This window comes from Homo sapiens, chromosome 8 (assembly GCF_000001405.40).
Source record: "Homo sapiens chromosome 8, GRCh38.p14 Primary Assembly".
NCBI lineage: Eukaryota > Metazoa > Chordata > Mammalia > Primates > Hominidae > Homo > Homo sapiens.
Genome location: NC_000008.11, coordinates 31,210,014 through 31,225,609, shown reverse-complemented (window position 1 = coordinate 31,225,609; position 15,596 = coordinate 31,210,014). Strand labels below are relative to the sequence as shown.

Genomic DNA, 15,596 nt, shown 5'->3' with positions numbered 1-15,596 from the left:
ACCAAAGAAAGAGAATCTTCCTTCAGAATTATCAAACAACAATTTTTAATGGTAGAATCTAATCCTTCCTCTTTAAGTTCTAACAGGAACAACGTAGTTGATGGCAATTTTCTAAAAAGAGTAACTCTTTGAGTCCCAATGATTCTTTTACTTAAATAAGTGAGAAGTTTAGCTTTTAGGATTTTTTATTTCAGATATTAAAACATCAGCACAAACACTTGTATTTTTTTTAATGGGAAAAAAAGAAAAAGGAATTCCCTCTGGTGAATTGTATGGCTTTAATGTCACAGATCAGGAGTGACAATAATATATACTTGGCCCTGCTATATATTGCTATCAGAAGGTGTTACTCAAGATCACCTATTCCAAAACAAAATCTGAGGTTTTTGTTCCATGTCTAAAAATCCCACATTGCAAGACTATTTGGTTACTGAGAGGTATTTAATATAATCACTTCACCTTGAAGGATTCACCAAAAGCTAATATTACTTTAATTTAGATGTCTTCTTTTTCCCACTTATATTGGAAAGACTAAGGATATCATGATTATACTATATTGTATAGAAACATGGAATTAATCGTCCCATTTGTTTTTGTATTGGAAAAACACCGGCATTTTTTTATTTTATAAATAAGAATAAAACTACATCAAAATGGAATAAACAATGCGCTTCATCCATGAAAACAACTTTTCTGAATTTGACATCTGGCTATGCCCACTGCAACTATCTAATAAAGTGTATATATCTTCCCCAAATTGGAAACCTAAAACACCATCCATTGAGAATTTGTAAGAGTATAATCTCACTATTCTGTCATCCAGAATATTGATCACAAGCTCAGTATCAAAGCATGATTTCATGGGAGAGACCATTATTTCCTGATGATCAGAGAACTAGATACCAGGACCACATCACTTTTAATCCTCATAGAATGACAAACACTGAATTGTGCAGTGGCATTGTGCCAGCTGCTTGCTTTGAAAGCTATAATAAGCAGCTACACAGAAGTCCTTATAATATCCATTTAACAAACTCTTGATCAGCACGTATTTGTTATAAACCTCCTGATTCTGAAATATTTTTCTAAAAAATATATAAACAACTTGCTCTAGTATACCGTTCCTGTATTTTCCCAATGTTCTGCATGCTATGATAAATTCTTAGGCAGTAAGAGTTGGCCCAACTCATGGTACCATCCACTCTCAGCCAATGAGCTCTAGCACACCACACTGCATCATTTAGTCAATGAGGGTGCTATCTGTGTTGTTATTCCATCTACTTTGTGTTCTAATGAACGGTTTTGACTCATGACAAAAATTGTGCAAGAGGCAGCGCTCAACACTTCTGAAAGAAACAAAGGAAGACTATTATGGTGGATGTTAAAAGGGCAATTGCAGGCCAAGCATGGTGGCTTCTGCCTGTAATCCCAGTGCTGTGGGAGGATCTCGAGGCCAGGAGTTTAAGACTAGCCTGGGCAAGACAGTAAGACCCCCGCATCTTCCAAATATGTATACATATATATATATATGTATATGCATATGTGTATATATATATGTATATGCATATGTATATGTATATATATCCGGCTGCAGTGGTGTGTGCCTGTAGTCCCAGTTACTCTGGAGGCTTAGGTGAGAGGATCCCTTGAGCCTAGGAATTTGAGACTGTAGTGAGCTATGTTCACACCACTGCACTACAGCCTGTGCAACAGAAAAAGGCATTGTCTATGGGAAAAAAAAAAAAAAAAAAAACTTCATTGCATCTTAAGTGCTTTCAAAGAAACAACAACAAAAAAATAGAAAGACTGATATATAATCAGAGGTTGCTGAATGCCCTCTTACATTTGCAGTGAATTATAATCATGACCATAGGACTGACCAAAAATCATCAGCAGAGAATCAAGGCTTGTCATGGCTTCATGGCTTCCAGAAAATCTGAAGCAGCCCGATGAGCTATTGCCAGTGAATAATGGAGGGAAAAATGCATCTCCAGAGACCGTGTTATAATAATCCTGTCTGCCACTGACCAGGTTAGCGCTACCAAATTCAAAAAATTAATTTCCTACTACTCTCCAAAAGACAGATACCCAGACAGCGGTGTGAAGAGTGAATTAAGGGTGGCAAGACTGGAGGCATGATTAACAGTTTGGCTGATTTTTAAAATAGGTTTACAATAGGGCTTTTATTAATCAGGGGAGGTTAACATATGCTGCAGTAATGAACTCCAAAATCTCTGTGATTGAACAAGATAAGGATTAATTTCTCGCTCATAAAAAGTCCAAAGTGTGTTGAAGTTCACACCACTTAAAACTGATGCCTTCCAAGATCTATGCAAAGGGGAAGGAAGAGTTGGAAGACTGAAATAGATGACATCACATCCATGACATTCCAATAGCCCGTGCCCCACTGGCCTAACTAAAAAGAAGACTGGAAAATATAGTCCTCCTGTGAGCACAGGAAGGACAAATGGGGTTCGTGAGCTTCCATCAGCCTGTATCACATCGATGTTGCTGAGGACATTAACACTAAGTCAATGCACTACTCTCTTTGTAAATCTCAGTACCAGGAATGGGCAACCCACTTTTAGTAGGGGGACTTACATTTTCTTTTCCTTTTTTTTTTTTTTTTTTTTGAGAAGGAATCTCACTCTATCACCCAGGCTGGAGTGCAGTGGCACAATCTTGGCTCACTGCCACCTCCGCCTCCCAGGTTCAAGCAATTCTCGTGCCTCAGCCTCCTGAGTAGCTGGGACTATAGGCGCCCACCAGCATGCCTGGCTAATTTTTTGTATTTTAGCAGAGACAAGGTTTCACCATGTTGCCCAGGCTGGTCTCGAACTCCTGACCTCAAGTGATCTGTCTGCCTTGGCCTCCCAAAGTGCTGGGATTATAGGCCTAAGCCACCGCGCCCTGCCTGGGACATGCATTTTAATGTATAATTTTACCCCAAGAGTCCTCTTTCTCTCCCTATCTACCCCCCAATTTCTTCATAAAATGCTTTGTTCTCTTGCTCTTTATTTTTATAAAGTATTTTAAGTTCTTTGGGGATGAGGTTAAATACCAATGATTTTTTTTTTTTTAATAAGCCAAACTGTTAATCCTGCCTCCATTCTTGTCACCCTTAATCCACTCTTCATACAGCCATCTGGGTGACATTTTCTAAGAAGCACATTTTCTAGTAAGCTGTTCAGTGGGTGGCTCCCTACAAAGTACAGGATCAAGTGTCAAGTCCTCGGCATGGCATTTCCAGTCCCGGTGATCCAGCATCAGCCTCCCCTTTCCACCCTTATCTACTGTCATTCCTAATTTTGAACCCTGTGCTTCATCCATACACACTAATCTTCCCAAGTGGTCTAGAGGTTGGGATAAAAAAAATTCTTTCCTTTTTTAAATTTTTATTTTTATTTTAAGTTCTGGGGTACATGTGCAGGATTGTTACATAAACATGTGCCATGGTGGTTTGCTGTACCATCAACCCATCACCTAGGTATTACGCCCCCCATGCATTAGCTACTTTTTCTAATGCTCTTCCTCCCCCGACCCCACCCTCCAACAGGCCCCAGTGTGTGTTGTTCCCTTCCCTGTGTCCCTGTGTTCTCATTGTTCAGCTCCCACTTTTAAGTGAGAACATGCAGTGTTTGGTCTTCTGTTCCTGCGTGGGTTTGCTGAGGATAATGGCTTCCAGCTCCATCCATATCCCTGCAAAGGACATGATCTCTTTCCTTTTTATGGCTGCATAGTATCTCATGGTGTATATGTACCACCTTTTCTTTATCCAATCTATCAATTATGGGCATTGAGGTTGATTCCATGTCTTTGGTATTATGAATAGTGCTGCAATAAACACACATGTGGATGTATCTTTGTAACAGAATAAATCTTGCAGTTTCTAATCATGACATGCAGCCATACCTCCACATTTCCCCATCATAATCTCTCTCCCTGGAGTACCCCCTTCTGCTTTTTTCCAACTTCAAGACTCATATCTCTTCAAAGATTTTTTTTTCCAACCACTCTTTGCACTTTTACTACACCTCTAAGGTAGCAGCTAGCACACTCTACTGGCTATTATTTGTCTACAGACTTTTATCCCATACTAGACAGTGAGCTGCAAAGTCAATGGACAATATTGTACCCATCTTAGAGCCTAAGATTTATTAAACAAAGAAACTGTTTAATAAATGTCTGGGGAATGAATGAATGAATGAAATATAAATGAGGGGAATATACTTATAAAACCTTGAGGATAAAGTACCTGACCTGAGAATAAACCTTGAAGTAGTTGAGATTCAACCACTTGAGGTGCCATTTTGTTATTTACAATAAACCCAAAAATATAAGAGAACCATTAGGCAGTTGTTACAAGTCAGTTAATCACAATGCTTTCAATGTATGTTCTGTTTAGCTCATTAATCTTGGTAATACCATTAGAAGAAAGCGGGTGTGTGTGTGGTATTCTCCAAGGGCAGGAAGGTGGCAAAGGGAGGCGAATCCGAGAGGGTAGAGGGAGGGGAAGGGCGGAAGGAGAAAAAGGTGGGAGGAGGACCAGGTGGGAGGGTGGCGGCTCACTCAGGACCCAGCAGGGGCAGCGCGATGAGGCGGGTGGCCCTGTTCCTGAATGGCAGCCCCAAGAACGGAAGATCCTCAGGCAGATTCTAAGCCTCCTGAAGGATTGTTAGGATTCCACACAGACTGGCTGACATTAAATGTTGGAGGGGCGGTACTTTACAACTACACGGAGCACTTCAGTGAATAAAGAACCTGACAGTATGCTGGTCCACATGTTTAAGGACAAAGGTGTCTGGGGAAATAAGCAAGATCATAGAGGAGCTTTCTTAATTGACCGAAGTCCTGTGTACTTTGAACCCATTTTGAATTACTTGCTTTGTGGACAGCTCATTGTAAATAATGGCATTAATTTATTGGGTGTGTTAGAAGCAGCAAGATTTTTTGAAATTTATTCATTGATTGAACACCTAGAAGTGGCAATAAAGAATTCTCAACCACCGGAGGATCATTCACCAATACCCCGAAAGGAATTTGTCCAATTTTTGCTAGCAACTCCAACCAAGTCAGAACTGCGATGCCAGGGTTTGAACTTCAGTGGTGCTGATCTTTCTTGTTTGGACCTTCGATACATTAACTTCAAAATTGCCAGTTTAAGCCGCTGCAGTCTTGCACATGCAAATCTTTGCTGTGCAAATCTTGAACGAGCTGATCTCTCTGGATCAGTGCTTGACTGTGCAAATCTCCAGGGAGTCAAGATGCTCTGTTCTAATGCAGAAGGAGCATCCCTGAAACTGTGTAATTTTGAGGATCCTTCTGCTCTTAAAGCCAATTTAGAAGGTGCTAATCTGAAAGGTGCTGATATGGAAGGAAGTCAGATGACAGGAATTAACCTGAGAGTGGCTACCTTAAAAAAATCCAAAGTTGAAGAACTGTAACTTCAGAGGAGCAACTCTGGCAGGCACTGATTTAGAGAACTGTGATCTGTCTGGGTGTGATCTTCAAGAAGCCAACCTCAGAGGGTCCAACGTGAAGGGAGCTATATTTGAAGAGATGCTGACACCATTACACATGTCACAAAGTGTCAGATGAGAATTTTAGGGGCTGGAGGAAGATGTAGAAAATGAAAATGTTTTCCTTATCACTTTTCTTTCTCTACCCACTCAGTTGTCTAGAAGAAACAACACTGTAAGGAAATTTTTTAAAAAAACATTTAGAGGATTATGCTTGTTCTCAGCGGTACATAAGAGAAAAAACTGACCTTTTTTTCCATATTCTGATTTGTAACACAAAAGCACTCATTCAATATATGTAGGGAAACTAGATGTTTCTGCCTTTTGAACGGGGTAGGGTGGTTTACCTGGTTTTATGGCCAGGAATAGTATCTATTATGTTTGCTTTTAAATAGGCATGATGTGGAAATACCATCCTGGTTTGAGAGGCATTTGAGGATTTTAATTTATGGAAAGCACAACATATGCAATTATATTTATTGAATACCTAGATGCAGTATAGATATTTAAATTGTTAAAACTTTATGAAAACTTGAAAAACATTGTTCAGGTTCATAAATAGCTTTAGTGATGCCTCCCCTCTTTAAATACCTGTCACACCGTATGAATATGGTGAGATCAGACTCCCTAAGACTCTTTTCAGGCTCATTTTCATAATGTTTACTTTTTAGGGCAAAACAGTAGCTAAATTAAAGTAATAGCCAGTTCTTACTGATTGAGACAGAGTGGAAAGAAAGACATCATTGTACATCACTGTCATTCCAAAGGTACAGTGGAACTCCGGATGGATGAAGAACTTACCTATCACTACAACACTTATAAATGAGAATTTCTCAGAATTTCATTCTAGACAAGTTCCACGCAACACCAGACCAAGCAATTCTATCTATTTACAATATTAGCCTAGTTTTCTCATACAATCATCACAAGCATAGGAAGATACTTCAAAACCAAAAAACCAAGGTCTGTCATTAATATTCATTTAATTCAAATACCAAATAGTTTATATAGGGCCAGCTTAGAAATAGATACTAAATCCAGAGCTACTGCAATCAAAGCTTATATGAATGAAGATGGTAGAGTTGCCTGTTAAAAGGCAATGTAATATAATTGCAGCTAGAACCCCACAGTTGGGAATGAGGAATTTTAAACACATTTGATTACAGCCACCAAAAAATATATATAAAGTAAAAATAAAGGCATTTGGCTGGTCCAAGATGTAATACCAATCAGTCAGCACCTGTGATTCTTTTACTTATTTTTTAGGTTTTTTTTTTTTAAACAAATTTTAGCCTAGTTTTCTCGAGTCATTACCTCTCTGCAGCAGCAGAGGAAGGGCCTGTACCTCCCTACCAGTGACCTGGTGTCCTTATTTCTACCGCAAGAGCAGGGATATTAGCTGTGTCCAAATGGGTTCTGAATTCTACAGACTCATCAACATGAGGCAAGGAATCATTGAAAAACCCGTGTCTCCTTTGGGAGAATGACATATCTTTAGTATTTATGTAGCTTATTCTTCTATATCTACATATGCAAAGCTTTCCTTAACAGTAAAGGGTACATATGCATAGTGGGAGGAGATCAGACCTTTACAAGTGAAGGAAAGCAACTTCAGAAATGAATTATTTGCTTTGCTTTATTATTTTTACCAAGACAGAGAAGTATTGTATTGAGAAATAATCTATTTTCATAATCAATATGTGCCCAAATTATATTTAAATTATTTCACTCTATATTTTCAGGAATTATAGAATGTGTTATTTATTCACTTAAAGGTACCTCTGTAGAAATAACCTAAAACTGCAGAAGGATCTGAAAGATCTAAACATAGTGTGCTTAGAAACTACAGATTTTAGATCTAACGTATACTGCATTAATAAATGATATAAAGTGTTAAAAAAAAAAAAAAAGAAGAAGAAGAAGAAGAAAGCCAGCACCTGTTCACAGAATACTAGGTGACTGTAGCTGGTCTTGAATTCCCTAAAAAGCAGAAATCTGATTCCCAGGGCTGACCGTGAAGAATGTTACAAGGGGGGAAATGACTGTTGTCAGCATCAGATACCCCCCTGCCTTCTCACTCCCTTGTGGAATGATGCTAAATGATGCTAAGTGTTGGAGAAGGAATGCACTTGACCATCCAAGTCAGCCCAGCACTGCATTCTAGTCTCTGCCTTTCTCCAGCAACTGGCCGTGTGGGATCAAGGAGGTTACTTCTCCCTGGGCCTATTTTTCTCCCCTTAGAATGAAAGGTGCACTAGAAATCTAATTCAAAATGCCAATTTTTACAGCCACACACCCAAATCTTTCTTTGTATTCTCTTTGACAGCAGACTCCTTCCTTGTGTCTCCCTGGAGGGCATTCATTTCACACTGATTTCTTGCTTCCGTAGGTTTCTTGCCAGGTGGAGCTGAGCACATGGTTGCAATGCCTCTCTGCTTTCTGTCCACCTCCCCCAAACCCTGAGCCCCTTACTTACTCCCTTATTTAAAATCCCTTTTCACTGAATACCATGATAATCTTAGTGATCAGTTTCCATGATGAAAACAATTGCGTTCTGTTTCTTAAAGGTTTGGTCCTGTTCATTTTAAAATTTAAGTCAATATTCGATCAGGTCTCTTTCTCTCCTTTGTGGCTCCAGTGGCTGAGGGTGAGAGGGTGGGGGATGCTGTAGGGGACACAGTCTGGGGTCTGTTCTCATGCACCTCCCCTTCCCTCTTTCTCTTCCTTGTACCTGCTCCTTTGGTCTTGGGGTAAAAAGAGGAACAAGAGTGAACTTGGCATTCTCTCCCAAGGGCCATTAACTGCCCTCCTAGATCTCTGGTCTTTAGTGTCAGGTAGGCGGGTAGACACTCCACAGGCCCCTCGGAGGGAGGGCTCATTCCCAAACAGATGGTGACTCTTAGAGTGACTGGGCCAATCGCTGCTGGCTTTAATGTGCATTAATTTATGCCATAATGTAGCAGCCCAGGGCCTCTGTAGCCCCAATCTCTTCTTCCCTCATGGCCAATTCTTCAGCCAGTAGGCCCTTGTAATATCCAACTTCCGTAGTTGGCAATAACCTGAAGCCTGAGGCAAGGAAACATTGACTTCCTTCCCACCTGCCACAGATCTCTCCCCAGAAAGCCTTTGTCCTGTTCCAGTAACACAGCAGCAGCCCAGCAAGTCTGCTAGATGAGCAGATGCCCGCTTAGAGACCCTACTGTATGTTACTTAACTTGTTATTAACTGAACTGTTCATAAGAATACAAGGCAGCTCCTTCACTAATGGTTCTCTTGGGGGCTTCCCTGCCTTGGCTTTGGAAAGAAAAAATCCCCACTTTCCCTCCAGCTTGAGAAGGAAAAGAATAGCTTCACATCTCAAACACTGCTGTCCTCCAAAAGGCGGCATTCCTCTTCCCCCTCCAGGCCCTCTTCTCATATCCAGAGGAGGGGGGTCAGGTGTTGTGGGAGGCATTTGGGTCTGTTCTCTGAGTGCTTCCCAAGAAGTCCTGAGTGGTGTGGCTGGTCCAGAGCACTAATTGTCCCTCCAACTTAGAGTACAGAATGCTTGCTGTGGTTTTTCCTTATTGTGAGCCTTAGTAATAAAATTGAGAAAACAGGATCCCGTTCAGCACCCTACAGCATCTTGTTACATATTCGTGTGTGTTCATACTGCATTAATATCTGGCCAGGCCTGGCAGCTCACACTGATAATCCCAACACTTTGGGAGGCCAAGACAGGAGGATCACTTGCGGCCAGGAGTTGGAGACCAGCCTGGGCAACATAGCAAAACTCTGTCTCTACAAATTTAAAATAAATAGTGGTCCCAGCAGTAGTCCCAGCTACCCAGGAGGCTGAGGCAGGAGGACCCCTTGAGGCCAGGAGTTCAAGACTGCAGTTAACTATGACCACACCACTGCACTCCAGCCTAGGCGACAGAGTGAGACCCTGTCTCTAATAAATAAATAATTTTTACAATATTTCATTAATATCTGTCTTCCCTGCTATACTATAAGGCCATGACAACAAGACCCATGTATGTATGCTTTGCTCAAGATTGAACTCCAGCTACTTAGAATACCTGGCCAAAACAAAATTTTTTGATGTTCAATATTTATTGAATGAATGACAGAATAAAACTCCTCTTACAGTCATTTTGCCCCCATGACCACAGCTGATTGGACAAGAGCTGGGGACATGACCTAAGAAGAACCAATACATGCCAATACCAATACTATGAGCCAAGCAAATGATGTCATGAGAGAACTGGATCCAAAAGACAGGAGGACCAGACAGCCTGTACTGAGTTCTTATTGAGTATCTAGAAGGCTACATGCAGCTTGGATGGGACAGCCATGTGCATGCTAAAATAGAAAATGCTGATCTAGGGCCAGGCACAGTAGTTTCCGCCTATAATTTCAGCACTTTGGGAGGCCAAGGCAGGAGGATCACTTGAGGCCAGGAGTTCTAGACCAGGCTGGGCAACATTACAAGGCCCTGACTCTATAAAAAATAGGAAAAAAAAAAAAGATCCGGGCATGGTGGTTCATGCCTTTAACCTCAGCACTTTCGGAGGCTGAAGCAGGCGGATTGTCTGAGGTCAGGAGTTCAAGACCAGCCTGGCCAACATGACAAAACCCCATCTCTACTAAAAATACAAAAATCAGCCCGGCGCAGTAGCATCCGCCTGTAATCCCAGCCACTTGAGAAGCTGAGGCAGGAGAATCACTTGAACCCGGGAGTTGGAGGTTGCAGTGAGCCCAGATTGCACCACTGCACTCCAGCCTGGCCAACAGAGTGAGACTCTGTCTCAAAAAAAAAAAAAAAAACATCAACCAGTTGTGTTAGCACATGCCTGAGTGTAGTTTCAGCTCCTTAGGGGGCTGAGCCAGGAAGATCACTTTAGTCCATGCATTATAGGTTACAGTGAGCTATGATCATGCCACTTCACTCCAGCCTGGGTGATAGAACAAGACCCTGTCTCAAAAAAATAAAAAAGAAAAGAAAATGCCAATCATGAATCAGGGAGATTAAGAAAAGCAAAGAAAATAGACTACCTGGCTTCAGAGAAGAAGAGAGAATTCTCCTTCCTGACCCTCTAAGTTATTGGTTTTAGCATCTATGAGGCCCATACCTACTTTCTCATTTCCTGAGAGAGCCCAGTATCCTTCCAGTGATTTCTCTTTCAACCTAGTTCGATGGAACTATGGTCCTTGCAACAGATCTTGACACTGAGAAATGGTGCTCCATGTCAGTGAATTCTCTAGGTTATTGAACTTGTTATTACTTGAATTGTTTGTAATAATCTGGTCTTTGTAAATGCATCCTATAGATGTATTCTTAGAATTTGTAAAATATAATATTTTTCTTCATGACTCAGAGTCACCTGTTAAAGAAATAGTCCTTCGGTCTCCAAATTTGCTGTCAGCTGTCACTAGCAGAGCACCTTTTCTCTTAAAATTGTCCTTCTAATTCATTGCAAAGCTTTTCTTTTGAGGAACCAGCTCTGCAAGCTGATTCTACATGGGTGGAGACTCCAACAGGCCACTCTAAGGAAGGGTTTGCTTCCAAATGGATGGTGGTTCTTGGCAACATTGGGCTACCAGCTGCATGCCACAGCTTTCAAGCCACACTATCACTGTTCTAAACCATGTCTGATCACCTCCTTCTAGTCCTTCTTCCATTACAAACTTGTTACCTACATGCTCTTTTGCTTTGACTATTAAGAACTCACATACTGGCTGGGCACAGTGGCTCACGGCTGTAATCCCAGCACTTTGGGAGGTTGAGGTGGGCAGATCACTTGAGGTCAGGAGTTCGAGACTAGCCTGGCCAACATAGTGAAACCCCTAATCTACCAAAAATATTATTTTTAAAAAATTAGCCAGGTGTGGTGGCACATGCCTGTAATCCCAGCTACTTGGGAGGCTGAGGCAGGAGAATCGCTTGAACCCAGGAGGAGGAGGTAGCAGTGAGCTGAGATCATGCCACTGCACTCCAGCCTGAGTGACAGGGTGAGAATCCATCTCAAACCAAAAAAAAAGAAAAGAAAAGTATTCAAACACTGTTAAAGTTCTTTTCTTCAATATCAACCTCCTTTCAATGAAGAGTTGATCTCACTTTCCCAAGGGGCCACCTGGTTGTCTACAGAGAGCAAAGCCCAAACCCTAATGCCTCCCTTTCAGAGTCCAAGCTTGATGCCAGCTGGCCTGCCATTAGGCTGCTCAGGTCAGAGATTAATTTTCCCTCCAACCAGCATGAAACTAAGTCCACTAGACATGCTTGCTTAAAAAAAAAAAAATGAATAGAGATGCCAAATCCAAACAAATCCTCGAGCTTCTAGGGGCAAAATTAAGTCAAGCTCATTAGCAATGAACTAGGCTCATCCCAACAAGGCTCCTGTTTTCTGATGGGTAGCTTGAGGAAATAAGCTCAAGTACAGCTCAGGACCACCAGGGATAATCTGAAGGCCAGGCCAGGACCCTGACCTCTAGTGTGGTCCTAAAGTCTACACTCCTTGAAGATCCGGGATATCAGTTATCAGAACCAAGGGCTCCAGGACCCAGGGAAATTAGAGCATCAGTGGCCCATCTTAAACCCCTCCAGAAACACTTTTACCAGTGTCCACTTTCCATAGGATCCACGATAATGTGAAAACAGGGCCAGTCTCCTAGAGCGCCCACATCAGCCACCATTTTCAGCAGTGTCTGTGCACAAGCTTATATGTCTAGCTGAGCTGGATTTTCTGCTATCTAGACCATAGGGGAAAAAGTCAGGAACTCATTTCTGCCAATATCACAGCATAATCTGACCATATCAAGGGAAAGAAAATTCAGAGCCACTAATTGGAACTAAACTGGAATTCATACATATTCCCATAAACCCCCAAGTCACCAGTCTTAAATTCCATGCCATCACCCTCCAGGTCAGAACTGGCCCTGTATAAGCGGCTGGTACAGACAACCAAAAGCAAAAGAATAAGCCTCAATGTGCTCAGGACACCAGAAGACCCAGGACAATCTGAAACCTAGACATGCCAGTTTTCTGAAGTAAAATTTTGACCTTTTTCGAGGCCAAGGACAAGGCCTCATTTTGCCCCTAAGTCCCAGTCTGGAACACTGAAACAGATCAAGAGTAACTCAATGGGCCAAGAGCCAAAGTTTCTGCCTGCTATAATCTGGAAGTAGAAACCAGAGTTGCAAATTTCTCTACATATCTAGGTATTTTATAGGATAATTCTGGTAGGCTAATAGATCAGAGATATAAATGGGCATATATAGAATTTTATTGGTGTATGTAGAATTTCCTGGAGGAATTTTCCCATCAGACAAGGCTGAAAAGGATAGTGTAATTGACATGTGAACATGGCATCATGATGGATAAAAGTAGATTATGGGATCCACAAAATAGTACAACATGGGAAGAGAGCCTTCCAGAACCAAGGGTCTTGGGCCCAGAAGACAGATAGAATCAAAGGCATCAATAGGACACTTGAGAAATTAACACCAGAACCTACAGAGATGGGGTGTTGAAAAAGCCCTCCTGGAAGCCATCTGGAGCAAAGGAAGGGACACCTGTCAGGCCTGGTGTCTGCTATAGAACCCTCTACCGACTACGTAGGTCAATTTCTCCACTTAAGAACTTCTGAAAATCAGGAGTCCTCAGAAATAAAAGTGGATTAGGGCCAGGCGTGGTGTCTCATGCCTGTAATTCCAGCACTCTGGGAGGACAAGGCAGGTGGACCGCCTGAGGTCAGGAGTTTGAGACCAGCCTGGCCAACATGGTGAAACCCCGTTTCTACTAAAAATACAAAATTAGCTGGGCATGGTGGTGTGCACCTGTAATCCCAGCTACTCGGGAGACTGAGGCAGGAGAATTGCTTAAACCCAGGAGGCGGAAGTTGCAGTGAGCCAAGATCGTGCCACTGCACTCCAGCCTGAGCAACAGAGCTAGACTCCATCTCAAAAAAAAAAAATGATTAATTAATTAAAGTGGATTCATATAATAAAAAATACAGTATTAAACAAAACATGTGAGGAAATTATTAAGTCTGGGTATCACCTCTAAACCATGATCTGCTACTTATTTTACTTTAAAGTATTATATAGCATTATGTGCCAGGCACTGTTTCCAAGTGGTTTACAAATGTTAACCCATTCACTCATTAACTGTGGAAATAAACAAGACCACCCAAATGAGAAAGCAAATGTAATTCCTGTGATTTGAATGTCCCCTCCAAAACTCACGTTGAAATTGTATTGCCATTGTAACAGTGTTATGAGGTGACACCTTTAAGAGGCTGTTAAGTCATGAGGGCTCTGCCCTCCTGAATGGATTAACACCGTTATGGTGGGAGTGGGTTAGTTATCGCAGGAGTTTGGCCCCCTTTATCTGTCTCACCCTCTTTTGTCCTCCTTTGCCATGTGATGCTCTCCACTATGTTATAATGCAACAGAAAGGTCTCTCCAAGATGCGGCCCCTCAAACCTGGGCTTCCCAGCCTCCAGGACTGTGAGCCAAATAAACTTCTCTTCTTTATAAATTACACAGTCTGTGCTATTCTAACAGCAGAAAATGGACAAAGACATCTATTTATTCAAAGCTTGCTATAGCAAGGGAGTCAACCACTATCACGTGTTTTGGCAGAGACTCAAAGGCAGGCAGAAAAATGGGAAAGCTTCATAGTAGAAAGAAGGGACAGCTTCTGGTATGTTCTGATTGAAGGACGTTGGTATGGGGAAGCTGTGGGTGGGCTGACTAGGAGCAGAGCATCCTATAGGGAGCATATTTAACTTTCCCTGGTTGGTTGCATATTGGAATCAGGAACAAAAACTGGGGAAGCTGTCAGTCATTTATCAAGTCCTGGCCACTTGGGGCCAGTTGTTACAGCAGTTATTGTTTGACTTCCTGGACTGTTTGTTAGAGATTGTGGTCTGATTTCATACAAAGCTGACTTGTAGGCAGGCTAGCTTCATGGGCTTAATGGGTTGGTTTTTGGGCTAGTTGCTGCAGACCGTAAGGGTACTATTTCTGCATATGGTCTGGCCATTGTCTATTTGTACATTCAGTCTCTCATAACCCTATAAAGTACCACTACTGTTCTCATTTTACAAATGAGAGGAGTATGGCATGGAGACACAGTGACTAGCAGAGCCAGAATGCAAACTAAGGTATTCTGTCCACAGAGTCTATCCCCTTAGCCCCTGCATGAAGGTGCCTCCGATGTAGCTTGGTATTGAGTCAGTTCTGGAAATTTCTTTTCTATGAGAAAGTCTGAATCTCTGTTCTTCTACCCAGTTGTTTGGGGTTCTACCCACCCATTCTTGTAGCCCAGCCAAAGAGAATGAGAACTTGACCTTGGCATGCTAAAGCACCAGCCTGTGTAATGTATTGTAATGCCAGTAATTTATGAGACTTTTTCTGTTTGGAGGGTTTTTACTTTTGTGCATGATTGTCTTCCCTGGCAAGATTAAGAAAAGATAATTTTTACGGGTTAGGTTCCCTGGAGAGACTCTGAAACAGGGATTCACACGCAGCACATTTATTAGAGAATGCTCGTGGGATTAAGCCCTGTGAAAGGAAGGAGAAGGGACCAGGACTGAGAAAGAGAAGCTGAGCAGTGATACAGCCTCAACAAAGGCTTCAGCCCACTCCATGTATTACCAGTGGAGGGTGTCCAGGTTCTTGGCATTTTGAACAAAGAATTGGACAAAACGCACAAAGCAAGGAAAGAATGAAGCAACAAAAGCAGAGCTGTACTGAAAATGAAAGTACACTCCACTGAGGGGGAGCCGGCTCAAGAGTTCTCCTTACAGAATTTTCTGGGGTTTAAACACCCTCTAAAGGTTTCATTGGTTACTTGGTGTACACCCTAAGTAAATGAAGTAGTGGTCTGCAATCAGAGGCTGAAGTTACAAAGGTTACACCCTAAACAAGTGTCTGATTGGTTGTAGAAAGCAAGGGGGGGATGGGGGACGGGGGTAGCGACGTTGCAAAGTAAGTAGCCTCTGGTCCTTTTGTTACTTAGGTGTGGAAAGTCGGGGCTTTCCTTTTATTTCTAGGAAGTTGGCATGAATTGGCCTTGGTTTCCCTGCCTCC

General features: G+C 41.9%; 1 pseudogene; it reads left to right on the top strand.

Moving 5' to 3' along the window:
- On the top strand, positions 4,444-5,795 carry KCTD9P6 (potassium channel tetramerization domain containing 9 pseudogene 6; annotated as a pseudogene).
- The last annotated feature ends 9,801 nt before the right edge of the window (positions 5,796-15,596 follow it).